This window comes from Homo sapiens, chromosome 16 (assembly GCF_000001405.40).
Source record: "Homo sapiens chromosome 16, GRCh38.p14 Primary Assembly".
NCBI lineage: Eukaryota > Metazoa > Chordata > Mammalia > Primates > Hominidae > Homo > Homo sapiens.
This window is the reverse complement of record NC_000016.10, coordinates 28925592-28946427: the sequence shown is the minus strand read 5'-3', so window position 1 is coordinate 28946427 and position 20836 is coordinate 28925592. Positions and strand designations below refer to the sequence as shown.

Genomic DNA, 20836 nt, shown 5'->3' with positions numbered 1-20836 from the left:
TTTTTTGTACTTTTAGTAGAGATGGAGTTTCACCATGTTGGTCAGGCTGGTCTCGAACTCCCAACCTCAGGTGAGCCGCCCGCCTCAGCCACCCAAAGTGCTGGGATTACAGGCGTGAGCCATCACGCCAGGCCCATTTTACAACTTTTTAACCAAAAATAATAATAAAACTGTTTTCTGTCTCTACTACCTTTGTGGAGAAGTTTGTTGGGTTTAGATATTTTGTTTCTTAATTATATTTCCCAAACACACTCGCCAACACCTCCTACCAACAATATTGTGCACCTCAGAGACTACACGCCCTCCACACATCCACAGCGTTGGCAACTCCTGCACAACATATATCCCAACACAACACAAACACGCCCCTTCAACACTTCACTCTTCCCACTTTGCCTCCAACCGTATAACCACCTGCCGCCTCACACTTACGTCCCACGCCACACGTCGCTCAGGATACCCACACCGCACACACCCAATACCACATGCTGCTCACACCCACGGTGCTCACAAAACTCGCGCCTCATACATCCACGCAGAACGGCATGTCCACCTCTGCCCTAGTCTCATCCCATACGCCTCCATCCCAACCGCGGCACCGATGTCCCCTGCAGGCGCCCCCCGCTGGACCAGCATGCATTTCCCTTCCCCGTGCAGACTCCGCCAAGGTCAGGACTGCAGGCGCACAACAGCCAGCAGGTGGAGCTGTTTTCCAGGAAACGGAGGCTCCTGGACTCCACCGACTTCCCAGCCCCAGGAGGCCTTCAGCCTCTCTCTGTAGCCAGGCGGCAGGCCAGTCTTGGGCGCTCCCGGGAAACCACTGCAAACCGCAAGCAGGAGGTGGCCCTGAGAGTCTAAAATTTTCAAGTCTCCTTTCCCCAAACCTTGCTCAAGAGCTGAAAGTGCACCTGTAAGTCCCAGCTACTAGGAATGCTTGAGATGGGAAGATTGCTTGAGTCCAGGAGCTCAAGGCTAGCCTGGGCACACATAGCGAGACCTCATCTCTGTTTTTTGTTTTTGTTTTTGTTTGAGACGGAGTCTCGCTCTGTTGCCAGGCTGGAGTGCAGTGGCGTGATCTCGGCTCACTGCAACATCCGCCTCCTGGGTTCAAGCGATTCTCCTGCTCAGCCTCTCAAGTAGCTGGGACTACAGGCGTGTGCCACCAGGCCCGGCTAATTTTTGTATTTCTAGTAGAGGCGGGGTTTCACCATGTTGGCCAGGATGGTCTCAATCTCTTGACCTAGTGATCCACCCGCCTCAGCCTCCAAAAGTGCTGAGATTACAAGTGTGAGCCACCGTGCCCAGCCAAGACCTCATCTCTTAAAAAAAAAAAAAATTATTTTTTGGCCAGGCGCAGTGGCTCACGACTGTAATCCTAGCCCTTTGGGAGGCCGAGGTGGGAGGATCACTTGAGGCCAGGAGCTCAAGTCTAGCCTGGGCAACATGGCAAAACCCCTTCTCTACCAAAAAATACAGAAGTTAGCCAGCCGGGTGTGGTGGTGCACGCCTATAGTCCCAGCTACTAGGGAGGCTGAGGTGAGAGAACTACTCAAATCCAGGAGTTCAAAGTTACGGTGGGCTATGATTGTGCCATTACCCTCTAACCTGGCCTAGCCTAGCCTAGTGAGACCCTGTCTCAAAATAAATAAATAAATAAATAAATAAATAAATAAGATGTCAAATAATAAGAGCTCATGCTTGAGTCCTTGCTAAGCCACTGTTGTATGCTTTACGTGTCATTTAAGACTCATTGATAATGTCCTCATTTTCTGAATTACTATTTCATGGTCTATTTTACAGACCAGGAAATTGCAGTTCAGAGAGCTTAAGCCATGTAGCTGGAAAGGGGTGGAGCCAGGATTCACATAAACCCAGCTAGTCTGGGCCAGGCACAGTGGCTTATGCCTGTAAACCCACCACTTTAGGAGGCTGAGGCAGGCGGATCATCTGAGGTCAGGTGTTCAAGACCAGCCTGGCCAACATGATGAAACCCTGTCTCTACTAAAAATACAAACAAACAAAAAAAATCTAGCTGGGCAGCTGGGCTTGGTGGTGTGTGCCTGTAGTCCCAGCTACTCAAGAGGCTGAGGCAGGAGAATTGCTTGAACCTGGGAAGTGGAGGTTGCAGTGAGCCAAGATTGCACCACTGCACTCCAACCTGGGTGACAGAACCAGACTCCATCAAAACAAACAAACAAACAAACAAAAAACAGCTAGTCTGATTCCAGGGCACTTGGTGGGAGGCAGCACACCTCTGTCCCAACCTCAACTTCCTGGGAGACTCCCCAAAGTGGCAGAGCCCACAAGGGTGTCTCCTTCCTCTGCACCCCAAATGCGTAAAGTACCCATCACAGCACTTCCCACAGCCCTTCATTCACTCTTCCTCCTCCTTCCCCACTCATTCCTTGACCCTTCTCATCCCCCAGCTGGGGAGCAGGGGCACAGAGATGACTTGGACATGGATCCGATCCCAGCAAGACAGGATGTGTTCTTTTTGTTTTCTATTTTTTGAGACAGAATCTTGCTCTGTCACCGAAGCTAGAGTGCAATGGCGCGATCTCGGCTCACTGCAACCTCCGCCTCCTGGGTTTGAGCAATTGTCATGCCTCAGCCTCCCCAGTAGCTGAGACTACAGGCACAAGCCACCATGCCTGGCTAATTTTTGTATTTTTAGTAGAGACAGGGTTTCACCATGTTGGCCAGGCTGATCTCGAACTCCTGACCTCATGATCCACCCGCTTCGGCCTCCCAAAGTGCTGGGATCACAGGTGTGAGCCACCAAGCCTGGCCAGCAGGATATTTTCACCAGGAGTCACAGGCTCAGGTGCTTCAGACAGGCAGGAAACCAAGATGAATGAGGCAGGCTGGGAAAAAAGGTAATAGGGAACAGCAAGGATTACAGCCATGTGAGAGCTTATTTTAGCTGAAGCTTAAGGTAGGGGATTATGGCAATGTGAACAGCTGGTGGGGAGCAGACAAATGCTGCACCAGATGATCTGGATTTTTTTTGGAGTCTCAGAGACTTGTGTTCAAGATGCAAGCATAAAGAAGTACTAGAGGTTTGTATTCCAAATGCATGCATACACTAAGCAAAATATAATGAGGAGTGCTGCTTTTTTTTTTTTTAATAGGTAGCTAAGCTCAAAGGGAAGACAGAATCTTCTTGGTTCCAGAATAAGGAGGAAAATCAAAGCCACAGTGGTGGGGGCAGTGGGGACAGTGAAGTCAAGCAGCCTGTGGGAATGCAGGAATCCCCTACGATTGGCATTTTAACACCCACATGGGGGCCGGGCAAGGTGGCTCACGCCTGTAATCCCAGCACTTTGGGAGGCCGAGGCGGGTGGATCAGGAGGTCAGGAGTTCAAGACCAGCCTGGCCAACATAGAGAAACTCCCCCCGACCCGCCACCGTCTCTACTAAAAATATAAAAAATTAGCCGGGCATGGTGGCAGGCACCTGTAATCCAAGCTACTCAGGAGGCTGAGGCAGGAGAATCGCTTAAAGCCAAGAGGCAGAAGTTGCAGTGAGCCAAGATCACACCATTACACTCCAGCCTGGGCTTTAATCCCAGCACTTTGGGCTTTGGGAGGCTGAGGTGGGTGGATCACTTAAGGCCAAGAGTTCGAGACCAGCCTGACCAACATGGAGAAACCCCGTCTCTACTAAAAATACAAAAATTAGCCGGTATAGTGGCACGTGCCTACAGTCCAAGCTACTCAGGAGGCTGAGGCAGGAGAATCGCTTGAACCCAGGAGGCGGAGATTGCAGTGAGCTGAGATCGCACCTCTGCACTCCAGCCTGGGCAACAGAGCAAGACGTCATCTCAAAAAAAAAAAAAAAAATCCATCCCCAGGCCCTGGCTCACAATGTAGAAGCGAGCCGCCTGAGAATGAATGGAAAAAGCCATCCAGGCACTCAGAACCCCAAAGCTAACCAAAGTATAGGCTTGGAGTTAGCCCAAACCTCTGGTGCAGAAACCTGTTCTGAGGAACTCATAAATAAAATGGTCAGAATCTTGTGCAGCCTGTAAGACTGTGGCAGGAGCCAAAGCAAGCCGGCCCCAGAGGTTGTCAGTGGGGCCCCAGGAACCCATGAGGCTGTCACAGGCAGGAGAAACATAAAGAAGTCAAAGACACCTTCCGTGAAATCAAAGAAATCTTCCATGGGGACTTCCATTCTCATGGCTCATGGGGTCACCATGGAAGGTTTTTGTTGTTGTTTTGAGACAGAGTCTCGCTCTGCTGCCCAGGCTGGAGTGCAGTGGTGCCATCTCGGCTCACTGCAACCTCCGCCTCCCGGATTTAAGCAATTCTCCTGCCTCAGCCTCCCGAGTAGCTGTAATTACAGGCGCCTGCCACCATGCCCGGCTAATTTTTGTATTTTTAGTAGAAACGGGTTTCGCCATGTTGGCCAGGCTGGTCTCGAACTCCTGACCTCAGTTGATCCCACCTGCCTTGGCCTCCAAAAGGGCTGGGATTACAGACATAAGCCACTGTGCCCTGCCTCCATGGAAGGTTTCTTTGACTTCTTTTACATGCCATGTAAAAGTAATAGTAACTACAGCATGCCTCCGCCTTAATGGGATTTTATAGCTGAGGCAGTGGAGGGTCAGGTTAAGTTGCCTAAAGTCAGTTAGCAATTGAAGTATTTAATTTATCTGTGCCCCAATCTCCTTAGCTGTAAAATAATAATAATTTTTAGTGTACTTTCCTCATAGGACAGTGGTAAAGATAAAATGAGTCGCCACCTGGAGAACGGTACGATGCCTGGCACATCGTAGTAATGTTAATACAGATGAAAGAAGTTTTAGGGGCTGGGTGCCTGTAATCCCAGCACCCTTGGGAGGGCAAGGCAGGCAGATTGCTTGAGGCCAGGAGTTGCAGTGAGCTATGATCAAGCCACTGCACTCCAGCCTGGGTGACAGAACAAGACTCTGTCAAAAAAAAAAAAAAAAAAAAAAAGGCCAGGCGCAGTGGCTCACGCCTGCAATCCCAGCACTTTGGGAGGCTGAAGTGGGTGGATCACCTGAGGTCAGGAGTTCGACATCGGCCTGGCCAACATAGTGAAACCCCGTCTCTACTAAATATACAGAAATTAGTCGAGTGTGGTGACACATGCCTATAATCCCAGCTACTCAGGAGGCAGAGGCAGGAGAATCGCTTGAACAGGGAAGAGAGAGGTTGCAGTGAGCCGAGACAGTGCCACTGCACTCCATCCTGGGTGACAGAGCGAGACTCCGTCTCAAAAAAAAAAAAAAAAAAAAAAAAAAAAAGATGAAGTAAGTTTTACATGCTCAGAGATAAAGAAGAAATTTCTACAACAAAAACAGGGTGGGAGGTCGAGGCAGGGAGCTGTTAACTGGGGGCCAGGAGATAGAGACCAGCCTGGCCAACATGGAGAAACTCCATCTCTACTAAAAATACAAAAATTAGCCAGGTGTGGTGGCACAGGCCTGTAATCCCAGCTACTTGGGAGGCTGAGGCAGGAGAATAGCTTGAACCCAGGAGGCAGAGGTTGCAGTGAGCCAAGATGGCACCACCCACTCCAGCTTGGGTGACAGAGTGAGACCCTGTCTCAAAAAAAAAAAAAAAAAAAAAAAAAAGAAAGAAAGAAAAGAAATGGTGAAAATAATATTAATAGTATACCTACCTCATAGGGTCGTAAAGATAAAATGAATGAATATACACAAACATACATAACATGTCCATAAAATATACATAAAATATTTGAATACAATCCTGCCACATAATAAGTGCTTACTATCTTTGTGAAGTTATTGTAACGATAAAATTTGCTCATTGATATTAGTGCTTAGAACATAGTAAGGTCGGGCACTGTGGCTCACGCCTGTAATCCCAGAACTTTGGGAGGCTGAGGCAGGTGGATCACCTGAGGTCAGGAGTTTGAGACCAGCCTGGCCAGCATGGGGAAACCCTGTCTCTACTAAAAATACAAAATTATCCGGGTGTGATAGTGGGCGCCTGTAATCTCAGCACTTTGGGAGGCCAAGGTTGGTAGGATCACTGGAGCCCAGGCATTCAAGACCAGCCTGGGCAGCATGAGGCATTCAAGACCTCATCTCTACAAAAAATAAAAAATGAGCTGTGGCCGGGTGCGGTGGCTCACACCTGTAATCCCAGCACTTTGGGAGGCCGAGGCGGGTGGATCATGAGGTCAGGCGTTCGAGACCAGCCTGGCCAACATAGTGAAACCCCGTCTCTACTAAAAATGCAAAAAATTAGCTGGGCATGGTGGCGGGCACCTGTAATCCCAGCTACTTGGGAGGTTGAGGTGGGAGAAATTCTTGAGCCTGGGAGGTCGAGGCTGCAGTGAGCCATGATTGCACCACTGCACTCCAGCCTGGGCAACAAAGCGAGAGCCTGTCTCAAAAACAAAAAAAAAAAGAAGAGTATAGTAGATGCTCAATAAATAAGTACTCAGTGACAATGAATAGCATCTTCTAACTAGACTGCTAATTCCTGGGCTGTTTCTCCACTGGGCACCCAGCATGTAACTGCTGAATTAATGATAATTGGGTAGCTGGATGGTGGGAGGGGGCTGATCGTGACGGATCTGTGGGCAGCGGGCAAAAGAGGGCAGTAGGTGAAGGCTAGGCCATGGAAGGGGAAAGGCCCTTTGTTTTATTTTTATTTTTATTTTTTGTTGAGACGAAGTCTCGCTCTGTCGCCCAGGCTGAAGTGTAATGGCACCATCTCCACTCACTGCAACCTCTGCCTCCCAGGTTCAAGTGATTCTCCAACCTCAGCCTCCCAAGTAGCTGGGACTACAGGCTCGCCACCACACCCAGCTAATTTTTGTATTTTTAGTAGAGACGGGGTTTCACCAGGTTGACCAGGCTGGTCTCGAACTCCTGACCTCAAATGATCCACCTGCTTGGCCTCCTAAAGTGCTGAGATTACAAGTGTGGGCCACCGCACCGGGAAAAGGCCCTTTGTATGCAGAAGGCAGCCCTCCCTCTTCCATGGGATTCAAGACGCCTTTCCTTCCCTTCCTTTCCTTCCCTTCCCTTTCCTTCCTTTCCTTTCCTTCCCTTCCTTCCCACACAATGGCACTACTTCATAGGATTGGAAGAGCTCATTGAGTTTATTTAAGGAATACAAAGGGGACTGGAAGTGTCACTGGCATGTATACACACACACACACACACACACACTTACACACATGCACACATCCTAAGCAACATTGCTCCAGAGGTTGGCATCATCTGCTCGAGGTCTTCAGATTTCAGAGTCAGGTGTGAATCTTGGGGACTTGAGGAGATCCAGGCTATGCAGAAGAAACGGTGATGGGGAGGGGTCCAGCAGTCCTCCCCCTGCCCACCAGGCCCTAGGAACCCTGTTCCCTCTCCCTCCCTGAAAGCCAGCAGCCACTGCCATCCGTGCCTATCTCCCTCCCTCCCCGCTTTCCCTAGGGGCAGTCCCAGCTCACCTGGCCACCTGAGGATCACCTGGTGCTCCAGGTGCCCATGCGGCCCCCTCCTCCCCAGGCTGGGTCTGGCCCATCGGGATTATCCATGTTCTCATAAGAGTCTGCATCTGGATAGGACCAGGGAGGAGGAGAACATGGGTGGCACTGGAAGTAGGCTGGAAGGCAAAGTCAGCCCAGGGGACAGCAGGGGACAGCGGCAGAAGCACCCACCTTCCTCATGATTGGGTCCAGGCTGGCCCCGAATGGAGCGGAGCTGGGGGGCTGCATACAGGATTCCTCTCATATCCTCATAGGACTGGGACCCTGCTTGGGCGGGGGATGGAGAATTGGAGGCTAGGGCATGGGAAGTACAGCCTACGGTAAGGAGGAAGACTGAGGGGCAGAGGAAGGTGAGGAGCATTACCCATGCTGTGCTGGGAAGGGGTGATTTGGTTAGCATTGAGTTTGGGGCCCCAGTTAGCTGTAGGGTCAGGGTTAGATATGGGTTAGATTATGGCTAAGGAAGGGGTCAAGAACAGAACTGGGCTGGGCGTGGTGGCTCATGCCTGTAATCCCAGCACTTTGGGAAGCCAAGGCGGGCAGATCACTAGAGGCCAGGAGTTGGAGACCAGTCTGGCCAACATGGCGAAACCCTGTCTCTACTGAAAATACAAAAATTAGCCAGGTGTGGTGGCAAACGTCTATAATCCCAGCTACTCAGGAGGCTGAGGCATGAGAATCGCTTGAACCTAGGAGGCAGAGGTGGCAACTGCACTCCAGCCTGGGCAACAGAGGGAGACTCCGTCTCAAAAAAAAGAAAAAGAAAAAGAAGAAACTGGAGGGAGTCGGAGTCAGAGTCATGAAGAAGCTGCAGAGTAAGCTGGGGTCCAAGTTGAGGTCTGCACTGGGGCTGAGGTGAGGTGGAGATCAAGTCCAGGCTGATACTGCATTGGGATCGGTGTTGATATTCACAGTTAGGGAGGGGGTAAATATTGGGGGTCAGGATGGGGGATGGGGCTCAGGATGGGGGATGGGGCTCAGTGTTGAGGTGAGAGGAGTCACAGGATTGGGTTCGGGTTTGGGGTCAGGGTCAGGTCAAAGTTGGATCTGGTGTCAGAGCTGAGGCCAGGTCACCCAAGCTGGGCAAGGCAGTCTGATTGAAAGCATCTCTCACCCAGGGAGGTTGCTTCCCGGCTGGGGTCCCAGGCTGACCCATGAGGGCTCAGGAAGTCTGGAAAGGGAAGAGGGAGGTTACTATTCCTCCTGGCCTCCAGGTGTCCTCCGCCTCCCCCCTGGACTGTTGCCATCCTCACACACACCCATTGTCCTGGCGACCGGCTGGGTCAGCTCTTCATCCTCGTTCTCATAAGACTCAGCTGTGGCAGAAGAGAGAGAACTCCAGGGACCCCTTCTAGGAGTGTCACAGCGCTGCAATTACACCTAAGTCTCTGAGGTCCCACAAAGGCCCCAAGTTACCGTTGGAGAAGGAGTCTTCATCCTCAGGACCCAGGGGCTCATCCTCAGGGTTCTCGTAGCCGCTGCCATCTGGTGGAGAAGGAGGGGTGTCCATGGGAGTCCACAGGCCACCGCAGAGGTGGGGGGCCACGGGGGAGGGCAGCCTTACCCTGGGAGAGCTGGTCCTGCCCAAGGTTGGAGTCGTTCTCATAGAACTCGGAGTCCTCCTCACTGTCAGGTTCCTCATAGCCCTCCCCTTCCTCTTCTTCTGGGCCTGGGGGTTTGGGGATGGGGATGGGGAACCGAGTCATGCCCCCTCTCCTCCAGGGCCCAGTCCACTATTCGGGCCACAGACCGCTCCAACCCCCTCCATGTGGGGAACGACCCTTCCCTCTCCCAGTCATTCACCCACTCCCGGCGGGCTCCGGGACCCCAAGGCTCCATCCGCCTGGACGTCGCTGCTCGGGTTTCCATAAGACGGGGCAGTGCCCCCCAGGCCTGCGGCCCAACGCTGGGCGCGTCCTGGTGAGAGGGGCATTGTAAGACGGGGTCAGAAGAGATGGGGGCGGTCAAGGCTAAGGGTCCGCGCGGCGGGGCACGGGAAGAGGATGTTTTGGGCTCTGCGAATGGACTCTGGGTCTAGGAACCCGGCCTTGAACCCTGGGGCGGAATCTAAATCTAGGGCCGAGGCCTTCAGTTCTGGGGCGAAGTTCTGCTCTTGATTACGACTTCAGGCTCTGGGTCCTGGGGGCGTGGCTCTGAGCCCTGGAGGCGGGGTCTGGTTCTAGAGGCGGGGCTCATAGCTGGGCGGGACTCCCCGCCCCGGGGGCGGAGTTCCGAGCTCCAGAAGGCTTGGCGCACAGCGGATTGGAGGGATGAGGAGAGTGGGGGTGGAGCCCCGGATCTGGGGCGGAGCTATAGGCTGGAGGGGCGGTGCCTCTTACCGAGGCCTGAGGTGGGTGTGGGGAGAGACAGCACGTTCCCGTACTGGTTCTGGGGCCCGCTTCCTGGGGGAGGCGTCACTTTGAAGAATCTGGCGGGAGAAGAGGAAGTGCACGGTGAGGGCCGACTTGGAATGGAATGGCGGACCCACTCAAGATTCTGTCCAGGCCTTCAGAAGTTAAACGTGATCACTTGTGCTGGGACAGCCAATAGAGGAGTCTGAGATGATCATTTCCAAGGAGTTCTTCACAGAGGAGGTAGCTTTGGAGCTGGGCTTTGAGGTTGGGCAGTATTTGAAACAGTAGAGACGGAGCAAAGAACCCCTGGGCAGAGGAAACAGTAAGTGCAAGGCATAAAGTGAAGGTGGAGGGTGTTACCGCGGGGTGCACTGGTTGCATTACCTCCTGGTGGGGTCAGTCATTCGCTTTCTTTTCCTCCTCAGGACCAGGGCTGGTGGGAGTTAAAGGGCGTGATCAGAGGAGGGGCTGCTTGGCAGGGTGAGGATTTGTGGGGCCAGGTGCTGGGGAGGTCACTTGGTTCAACAAAGGAGACAGGAGTTCAAATTGCGAGGCGGACGGGCGCGGTGGCTCGTGCCTGTAATCCCAGCACTTTGGGAGGCCGAGGTGGGCGGATCATTTGAGGTCAAGAGTTCGAGACCAGTCTGGCCAACATGGTGAAACCTCGTCTCTACTAAAAATATAAAAAATTGGCCGGGTGTGGTGGCATACACTTGTAGTCCCAGGTACTCGGGAGGCTGAAGCACAAGAATCACTTAAGCCTGGGAGGCAGAGGTTACAGTGAGCTCAGATTGTGCCACTGCACTCCAGCTGGGGTGACAGAATGAGACCCTGTCTCAAAAAAAAAAAAAAAATTGCAAGAGGCTTGGGAAGTTTGAGGGAGGCTAGAGGAAGACTGGGGAGAACAGGATTCTGGGGTCTTGAAGGGAGGGATGGGAGGAAAGAAAGATGGTTGTCAGACTGGCCAGAGCCGGCTTATCCTGGGGAAGATGGAGTAGGGTTTGGACAGACCCACTGGGGACATGACTCACCTCTTTGAAGATGAAGAATGCCCACAAGGGAACACAGGCAGAAGATCAGATAAGCCAAAGTCACAGCTGAGACCTTCCAGCCACCAGTCCTCAGCAGCCAGTGCCATAGTACTAGGGGGAAGGGGCTATGAGACGAGGACCCCAGGCTGGCATCTTACGTCCCAATCCTGAGATCTCAAGGAACCGCAAGTCTGAGGCACAGAGGCAAGACACAGACTCGGCCGGGCGCGGTGGTTGACGCCTGTAATCCCAGCACTTTGGGAGGCAAAGGCGGGTGGATCACCTGAGGTCAGGAGTTCGAGACCAGCCTGGCCAACATGGTGAAACCCCATCTCTACTAAAAATACAAAAAAATTAGCTGGGCATGGTGGTGGGTGCCTGTAATCCCAGCTACTTGGGAGGCTGAGGCAGGAGAATCGTTTGAACCCGGGAGGCGGAGGTTTCAGTGAGCCGAGATCACTGCACTCCAGCCTGGGCAACCACAGCAAAACTCCGTCTCAAGAAAAAAAAAAAGACACAGACTCAAAGTCCCAAGCTGTGAGAAAGGCTCTCCTCTCTCTAAGGAGCCATGTCCCAGGAGGTCAGGGATTGTCACAGACCCTGGCACAGGACATGGGGCAGTGTCTTTGAGCAAATCGTGGACAAACCATGGCTGTACTCAGAGGCAATGTGTGGATTGAGGGGAGCATAATGATCAGTTTCCTGCTGCAATTAAGGATAGTCACGGTCAAAGTGAAGGGCAGAGTTGAGTTTGCAAGGTTACAGTTGGGATCCAGCACATTGCTTGGATCAAGTTTGGAGTGAAAGTTGGGGTTGGGTTTGTGAATTGCAGTTAGGATAGCATGATAGGATTGCATGGAGAGAGAATTGGCAGAACACTGTGACCAGTTTGTTGGACGGGGTGAGGAAAAAGAAGGATGCCCAGGTTCTTAGCCTGGGCGAGGGAGCAGGTGGTGGTGCCCTCTGCTTACACTGGGCCACCAAGAAGACTATACTTGGGGAAGACATTGAGTTTGATTTTGTATCTGTTGAGCCTGAGGTGTCCATGGGATATCAAATGGCACAGGAGATGGCTGAGTATGGAGCCTGGAATAGAGTCACCAAGGCATGGTGACCCAAGAAGCCATTGAGAGTCAAGTTCAAATAGGAAAGTGTGCAGACAGGGATAAGAAGAGGGCCCAGGGCTCCAAGAGTGAGGAGTTGGGGAGGAAGGAAGACTCCACCCAAGCTGGTGGGCAGGCGCAAGCAATGGTAGGTGAAGACCCAGAAAAGTAGTGTCTTGGAAGCGAGGGAAGAAAGACTTGAAGTCTAGGCCAGGTGCGGTGGCTTATGCCTGTAATCCCAGTACTTTGGGAGGCCAAGGCAGGCAGATCACCTGAAGTCAGGAGTTCAAGACCAGCCTGGTCCAACAGGGAGAAACCCCATCTCTACTAAAAATACAAAATTAGGCTTGGCCCGGCCCTGTGGCTCATGTCTGTAATCCCAGCACTTTGGGAGGCCGAGGCGGGTGGATCACGAGGTCAGGAGTTTGAGACCAGCCTGGCCAACATAATGAAACCCCATCTCTACTAAAAATACAAAAAAAATTAGCCAGGCTTTAATCCCAGCTACTCGGGAGGCTGAGGCAGGAGAATCACTTGAACCTGGAAGGTGGAGGTTGCAGTGAGCTGAGATCGTGCCACTGCACTCCAGCCTGGGTGACAGTGCAAGACTCCGTCTCAAAAAAAAAAAAAAAATTAGCCAGGCGTGGTGGTGGGCACCTGTAATCCCAGCTACTCAGGAGGCTGAGGCAGGGGAATCACTTGAACCTGGGAGGCGGAGGTTGCAGTGAGCCAAGACAAGATGGCACCACTGCACTCCAGCCTAGGCAACAGAGCGAGACTCTGTCAAAAAAAAGAAAGACTTGGAGTCAGTGTTCTGTGTGGAAGTTGGGGTTTGGGGTGAGGCTGGGAGTAGCCCTCGGGTTGGGGGAATCTAAGATTGACTGGCTTCCACTTCTTCCCAGTACCCCCACACAGATGCCTCCCAGTTGAGAGAAACTCTACCTGGCCGAGCAGTGATCTCCAGGTGGAATGACATGGTCAGGTTGCCACGGTGACAATAATACTTTCCAGCGTCTTGAGCTGTGGCCCGGGGCAACAACAGACCCGTCTCCATTACCCACATATCTCTGGCCGGGCGATCGTCCTTCAGCTCTAGGCTCAGCAATGACTTAGGCCCCTTGGGGTGCACATGGGTCCAGGAGAGGGGGCCCCTGGACACAGAGTCAGGGGGTACCCCACAGGACAGCCAGAGTGTGGAGCCAGGGGCCATGGTGAGGTCTGGGACAGGGAGAGATAAGACAAGGAAAGCCTGATCCTCAGGGTTTCACCTCTTCAGTTTCCCCTCCCCTCTGTCTCTGGACCCCCGCTTCCCGGCATCTCCCCAGTCATCACCATACCCTGGCTGAGGCTCTGGTTCAGGCTGTCCCTCGGTGGGAGACACGGAGGCTCTCCCTCCCAGATCTCAGGGCGGTCTTTGGCCCACACATACAGCTTGGGGCTCATGAGCTTCCCGGAAGGGGAGCTGGGGCCCTCTGAGGACCTGTTCTTCAGGCCACAGCCCAGGCCACCTAGGTCCGAAACATTCCACCGGAACAGCTCCCCTGGGAAGAGACCCAGAACCAAATGCAGAGACACCCAGGAGAGGGAGAGAGATAGAGACTCAAAGACAGAGATAAATAGAGACAAAGACCCGCAGAGAGAGAGAAGACAGTGAGAGGTAGAGGGACAGGAAGCAGCTCATACTGAAGCCACGAAGCCCCAGGAGTCTGCCCACCTAGCTCCGAGTTTCGCCCTCAATCCCTCCAGCCCCTCTCTCCAGCTCCATTGTGGCCGCGGACCTCTTCTGTCCATGGTGGCCTCCCTTCTCTCCTCCTGCCCCTGCCCCAGCCCGGCCCTCACCGCTGCCCTCCACATTGACTGTCCAGCCAGGCTGCCAGGCCTTCTCAGAGGGGGGCCCCGGCTGGCACAGGTAGAAGCCCCCCATCTGTTGAGAGACGTTGAAGATGAAAAGCCAGATGGCCAGGGGCCTCATGTGGATTCCCAGGCCTGGCAGCCCCAGGCTGAGTTTTAAGAAGGGTTTAAGCGGGGACTCCCGAGACCAGGTCAGCTGCTGAGTGGGGCCATCTGAGGTCCCCTTGAGGCACTGCAGCACAGCGTTATCTCCCTCTGTGGAGAGAGAGGGAGAGAGGTGTGGGCATGGGTGGGGGGGACCTCCAAGCCCCCCGACTCCTCACACCAGGTTATAGAGCAGAGGACTCCAAAAGCTGGGAGTGGAGGAGCCGGCAGAGTCCTTCCAACCCTTTCCTGAATTTTACAAATAAGAAAATGGAGGCTCAGAGAGGGTAAGTTACTCAGCCAAGGACACCCAGCCACAACTCAAGTTTCCAGCCTCAATCCCTTCCCTTTCTGCCCTTTGGACATACCTTCCACCTTCACCACTAGAGGTTCCTCGGGCCTGACTTCCATGGGGGTGAGGAAGAGGAGGAAGAAGAGGAGGCGAGGAGGTGGCATGGTGGTCAGACTCTCCGGGGCACCCAGCTTCGCGCAGGGGATGCTGGGGCAGGCAGGGGCCTGGAGGGCACTCAACCATGGGTGTCTGCGGGGGCGGCAGGCAGTCCCCCCAGAGAGGAAGGCGGTGGTCACGCCTCAGGCCCCATTCTCCAGGAACCCTCCAGACTCACAACACTTGCCTCCTCCCTGCCACGCTGTTTTATTTTCATCCCAGCTCTCACTACCACGGGAAATGATCTTGTGTGTTTATTTGTTCATTTCTGTTTTCTGCACAAGAATGTGAGCCCCTTGGAGTAGAGACCGTGTTGTTCACCACTAATTGCAAGTGCTCTAGAACAATGCTGGGCACATAGACTCCTTCTCAAAAAAAAAAAAAAAAATTAGCCGGGCATGGTGGCGCACACCTGTAATCCCAGCTACTTAGGAGGCTGAGGCAGGAGAATCACTGGAAACCAGGAGGCGGAGGTTGCAGTGAGCCGAGATCACACCACTGCACTCCAGCCTGGGCACCAGAGTGAGACTCTGTTTCAAAAAAAAAAAAGAAAAGAAAACAGTCCTATACAAATATTGTTTGTGAAGATTAAAAATGACAATATGTTCAGCACTATTAGCCCAGTGTCCAGCACATCATAAGCCCTCAGTTAATGAGATACAGCTTCAATTAATGCCTAAGAGCTCAAGTCATACTGCCTCAGTTTAAAACCAGGCAAAAGCCAGGCACAGTGGTACACGCCTATGGTCCCAGGTCCTTGGGAGGCTGAGGTAGAAGGATCGCTTGAGCCCAGGAGTTCAAGGCTGCAGTGCACCATGATTATGCCTGGGAATAGCCACTGTGCTCCAGTCCGGGCAACACAACAAGACCCTGTCTCTAAAAGAAAAATTGTTTTAAAAGAACCCAGGAGTTCTAACTCCTAAATCTGTTCTTATTCTGCCCCATGCCTCTCCTCTCTGTCTCTCTCTTTCTCTGTCACTCTCTATGTGCCTCTGTGTCTTTTTCACTGCTGCAGGGACTCAGAAAAAGAATTCAGGGACCCAAGAGACCCACTTTCTCAGTGGCTGATTCCCAGGCCCATCTCACCAGGCTGTGACTTCCTGTTTGCTGTGGGCAAGCCCCAGGGGACCCTCCCTACAGGTGGCAGGGCCTCCACTTCCCTTTGGCCAGTTGAGGCGGCTGGGAGGCGGAAGAATGAGGCATGAATGAAGGGGAATGAAGGGGGCGAGTAGCAGGACTCAATCTGCCTTTCATTCAACAAAATCTCTCTAATCCCCTCATTAGCTACCCAGCTGCCCAGACTGGCTTTCACTAGAGCATGTCATTCCCCTGCTTAAAACATGTCAGTTACAGCCAGGCACAGAGGCTCATGCCTGTAATCCCAATACTTTAGGAGGCCGAGGCGAGAGGATCCTTTGAGGACAGGAATTTGAGACCAGCCTGTGCAACACAGCGAGAACCCATCTCTATAGAAATTTTTTAAAAAACAAAAAATGTCAGTTGCTTTTCATCTAGCTAAAATAAAAACTCCAACCCAAGGCCTAGTAGGCCGAGTGTTGCTGACCTACCTACATTTTCCACCTCGTGCCTCCACCACTCTCCTTGCCAAGTGCTTCCCTGCCTCAGGGCCCTTGCACTTGCAGCCCTTTTTCCTGGATCTCTGCTGGGGGCTCTGGTTCTTTGCTGGACTGGTTCTTTTCATCACTTAGGTCTCAGTTCAAATGGTACTTCTTCAAAGAGGCCTTCCCTGTGCCCCCCAGTGCTTCAAAAATCTATATATTATTATTTAAAAAAATATATCTCAGGCCAGGCGAGGTGACTCACACCTCCCAGCACTTTGTGGGGCCAAGGCAGGCAGATTGCTTGTGCTCAGGAGTTGGAGACCAGCCTGGGCAATATGGCAAAACCCATCTCTACCAAAAATACAAAAAATTAGCTGGGTGTGGTGGCACATGCCTGTGGTCCCAGCTACTTGGGAGGCTGAGGCGGGAGGATCAGGGGGATGGAGGTTGCAGTGAGCCAAGATGGCACCACTGCACTCCAGCCTGGGCAACAAGAGCCTGCTCTCTTTCTTTCTCTCTCTCTCTCTCTCTCTCTCTCTCTCTCTCTCTCTCTATATATATATATATATATATATATATATATATATATATATATATATATCTCGGCTGGGCGCGGTGGCTCACGCCTGTAATCCCAGCACTTTGGGAAGCCCAGGTGGGCAGATCATTTGAGCCCAGGAGTTCGAAACCAGCCTGGGCAAAATGGAGAAATCCGTCTTTACTAAAAATACCAAAAAAAATGTATCTGGGCATGATGGTGCATACCTGTAGTCTCAGCTACTCAGGAGGCTGAGGTGGGAGGATCACTTGAGCCCAGGAGTTCAAGTCTAGCCTGGGCAACATGGTGAAACACCATCTCTACAAAAAATATGAAAAAAAGACTGGGCACAGTGGTTCATGCCTGTAATCTCAGCACTTTGGGAGGCTGAGGCGGGTGGATTACTTGAGGTCAGGAGAATGAGACCAGCCTGGCCAACATGGTGAAACCCAGTATCTACTAAAAATACAAAAAAATTAACTCATGCCTATAATCCCAGCTACTCGGGAGGCTGAGGCAGGAGAATTGCTTGAACCTGGGAGGCAGAGGTTGCAGTGAGCCGAGATTGCACCTTTGCACTCCAGCCTGGATGACAGAGTCTCTGTCTCAAAAAAAAAAAAAAAAAAAAAAGAAAGAAAAGAAAAGAAAAAAGAAAAAGAAAACCTTCTCAAATTCCCTTTACTCACATGCTTTTTTGATCGCATGCCCCTATTTCATTCCCAGCACTTGCCCCAATCTCAAATTATGCATGTGTATTTGCTAGTCTTCTCATCTGCCTCCTGCACCAGAATGTTCTTTGAGAACAGAAATCTTTACCATCCCTAGATGTGCACAGGCATCTAGTAGACACTCAATAGGTATTTGCTGGATAAAGGAAAGAAAAGAAGTTAGGGGCCAGGCAAGGTAGCTCATGTAATCCCAGCACTTTGAGAGACTGAGCGGGGCGGATCATTTGAGGTCAGGAGTTCAAGGCCAGCCTGGCCAACATGGTGAAACCCCATCTCTACTAAAAATACAAAAATTAGCTTGGTGCGGTGGTGCGCGCTTGTAATCCCAGCTACTTGGGAGGCTGAAGCAGGAGAATCGCTTGAACTTGAAAGGCGGAGGTTGCAGTGAGTGAAGATCGCGCCATTGCACTCCAGCCTGGGAGACAAGAGCATTTCAAAAAAAAAAAAAAAGGAAAAGAAGTTAGGAAGAAAACTCTCTCCCTTTTTTTGTAGAGGCGAGGAAAGCTCCTTTTATTCTCCTTTCTCACTATATTGCCCAGGCTGGTCTTGAACTCCTGGGCCCAGGCAATCTTCCTGCCTCAGCCTCCCAAAGTGCTGGGATTACAGGCATGAGCCACCGTACCTAGCTGAAAGAAAATTTTCTTTTCTTTTTTTTTTTTTGAGACAGAGTTTCACTCTTGTTGCCCAGGCTGGAGTACAGTAATGCGATCTCGGCTCACTGCAACATCTGCCTTCCAGGTTCAAGTGATTCTCCTGCCTCAGCCACCTGAGTAGCTGGGATTACAGGTGCGCACCACCACGCCCAGCTAATTTTTCTATTTTTAGTAGAGACAAGGTTTCACCATGTTGGCCAGGCTGGTCTTGAACTCCTGACCTCAGGTGATCCACCCAACTCAGCCTCCCAAAGTGCTGGGATTACAGGCATGAGCCACCGCATCTGGTCGAAATTTTCTTTTCTCTTCCCCCACATGCACTCTATCATCAAGGCCAGTCCATTTTATATCCTAAATATTGATGGAATCAATTTTCCCCTCTGAATCCTTCCTTCACAATCAGAAGCAATTCAACAGCCTCTCTCCTGGGCTCCCTGTCCCCTATATCTTTTGGTTCCCATCTACACTCCGCATGTCAAGAGAACTTCTTTGATGTTAGTCATGTGCTTCCCCTGTTCAATGGCCTTCAGTGGCTCCCAGGGCCTGCAGGATAAACTCAAACCTGAGAGCTGTCAGGAAGGCCCTCCCCAAACTGACTGGAGGCTGATTTCTAGTCATTATTTCAGCCCCTTCCCCAGAAACCCTGCTGCATGCACAGGGAGTCTGGATTTAATTTTTTTTTTTTTTTTTTAGACAGGGTCTTTCTCTCCCTCAGGCTGGAGTGCAGTGGCACAATCATGCTCACTGCAGCCTCAGCCTCCAGGGCTCAAGTAGATCTTCCCGCCTCAGCCTCTTGAGTAGCTTGGACTACAGATGCACATCACCATGCCCAGCTAATTTTTTTTTTTTTTTGAGACAGAGTCTTGCTCTGCTGCCCAGGCTGGAGTGTAATGGCATGATCTCAGCTCACTGCAACCTCTGCCTCCCGGGTTCAAGCAATTCTCCTGCCTCAGCCTCCCAAGTAGCTGGGACTATAGGCGCATGCCACCATGCCCGGCTAATTTTTTGTATTTTTAGTAGAGACAGGGTTTCACCATGTTAGCCAGGATGGTCTTGATCTCCTAACCTCGTGATCCGCCCTCCTCAGCCTCCCAAAGTGCTGGGATTACAGGCGTGAGCCACCGTGTCCGGCCATGCCCAGCTAATTTTTTAATTTTTTGTAGAGATGAGGTCTCACTATGTTGTTCAGGCTGGTCTCGAACCCCTGGGCTCAAGTGATCCTCCTGCCATTGGCCTCCTAAAGTGCTAGCATTATAGGCATAAGCCACCACACTCAGCCAGAGGTGGTTATTTTAGTTAGGGTGATCAGGGAAGGCCTCACTGAGGAGGTAACATTTGAGCCGAGACCTCAGCTCCAAGCTTGGTGGAAAACACTTGGTTTTATACTTGATGAAAAAGTAAGTGCGTGTTTAGTTTTGTTCAAAACTGCCATACTCTTTTTGCAGAGTGGCTATACCATTTCACATTCCCATCAACAAAATATGAGAAACCTAGTTTCTCCACATACTCACCAGCATTTGGTGTTAGCATTCTTATTTTAGCCATTCCAAGAAGTGCGTAGTGATGAAAGCAATTGTGGTTTTAATTTGTATTTCCCGAATAAATAGCTAATGATGTTTAACATCTTTTCATGCACATATTGCCACCTGTGACAGCAGTGAAATATCCGTTCATATCCTTTGTCCATTTTCTTTATTTCAAGTTCTGGGGTACATGTGCACGATGTGCAGGTTTGTTACACAGGGAAACATCTGCCATGGTAGTTTACCGCACCCATTAACCCATCACCTAGGTATCAAGCCCAGGATGCATTAGCTACTCTTGCTGATGCTCTCCCTCCCCCCTCCCAACACCCACCCCACAGGCCCCCATGTGTGTTGGTCCCCTCCCTGTGTCCATGTGTTCTCATTGTTCAGCTCCCACTTATAAGTGAGAACATGCATGTTTAGCTTTCTGTTGCTGCATTAATTTGCTGAGGATAATAGCTTCTAGCTTCATCCATGTCCCTGCAAAGGACATGATCTCGTTCCTTTTTATGGCTGTATAGTATTCCATGGTGTATATGTACCACATTTTCTTTATCCAGTCTATCATTGATGGGCATTTGGGTTGAGTCCATGTCTTTGCTATTTTGAATAGTGCTTCAATGAACATACTCGTGCATGTATCTTTGTAATAGAATGATTTATATTCCTTTAGGTATATACCCAGTAATGGGATTTCTGGGTCAAATGGTATTTCTGGTTCTAGGTCTTTGAGGAATCACCACACTGTCTTCCACAATGGTTGAACTAATTTACATTCCCACCAACAGTGTAAAAGCGTTCTACCTTTGGCCATTTTCAAACTGCATTATCTGTTTTACAAAAATCGCTCCAGCTGCTTTACGGAGAATTAATTAATTAAAGGGTGGAGTCGACACTGCGGAAGTTCAGGAGAAGTGATGGGAGCTGGGACGGAGTGTTAGCGCTGGAGATGGAGAAAAAGGGGCACATTCTGGAATAGTCAGCACATTGGAAGTAGAGTTTACGGGACTTGCAGGAGGACACGTAGAATCAAGGACTTCCAGGTTCCTGGCGTGTCCTTTACAGAGGGAAAAAAGGTTTGAGGGAAGGGGAACCAAGGCTCTGGACATAAATCTGAATTGCCTGTCACCGTCCGGGTGGAGGTCACAGATAAAGAGCCTGATCTAGACACAGGCGGAGAGGAGAGGAGGGATTTGAGGGCGTTGGGAGGAGGAAAGGGGGGCCAGCAGGAAGCGGTGACTGGCTGAGTAACAAAATGGGGGTGGGGACGTGCAAGTTTCAGACTCCGACTAACTACGCGGGGACTCCGAGGCGCTCAGAAAAATGAAGCCGACCCGGCCCTGCCCCGAGGGACGCTCCAAGAGGGCGGAGGTGCAGGGAGGGCCCCGCCACAATTCGCGGTAACGCAAG

General features: G+C 51.4%; 1 protein-coding gene across 6 annotated transcripts, besides 2 other annotated features; it reads right to left on the bottom strand.

The window, feature by feature from the left end:
* On the bottom strand, positions 7086–14457 carry CD19 (CD19 molecule). 6 transcript variants are annotated; one of them, NM_001178098.2, is made up of 15 exons: positions 14340–14457; positions 13816–14082; positions 13314–13517; positions 12919–13194; positions 10874–10984; positions 10227–10275; positions 9828–9916; positions 9292–9405; positions 9053–9157; positions 8905–8973; positions 8748–8804; positions 8603–8659; positions 7660–7755; positions 7450–7556; positions 7086–7287 (listed from the first exon to the last, which is right to left on the bottom strand). In NM_001178098.2, the coding sequence occupies exons 1-14, from the start codon at positions 14425–14427 to the stop codon at positions 7465–7467; spliced, it is 1674 nt and encodes a 557-aa protein (NP_001171569.1). In that variant the 5' UTR covers positions 14428–14457; the 3' UTR covers positions 7086–7287; positions 7450–7464. The 6 variants fall into 6 exon arrangements, 4 of the variants coding, with proteins under 4 accessions (NP_001171569.1, NP_001761.3, NP_001372661.1 ...); NM_001770.6 differs by having other exon boundaries at positions 7660–7752; NR_169755.1 differs by having other exon boundaries at positions 7660–7752; positions 10874–10998; positions 13314–14082.
* Positions 9529–9608: an enhancer, noted in NCBI's record as "active region_10652". NCBI's record gives its function as "activates an Ori minimal core promoter by ATAC-STARR-seq in GM12878 lymphoblastoid cells {active_cell/tissue: GM12878}" and the evidence as "EXISTENCE:reporter gene assay evidence [ECO:0000049][PMID:35858748]".
* Positions 20147–20730: an enhancer, noted in NCBI's record as "H3K27ac hESC enhancer chr16:28937019-28937602 (GRCh37/hg19 assembly coordinates)". NCBI's record gives its function as "activates a minimal SCP1, AML or CMV promoter by ChIP-STARR-seq in naive H9 embryonic stem cells {active_cell/tissue: H9 hESC(naive)}" and the evidence as "EXISTENCE:reporter gene assay evidence [ECO:0000049][PMID:30033119]".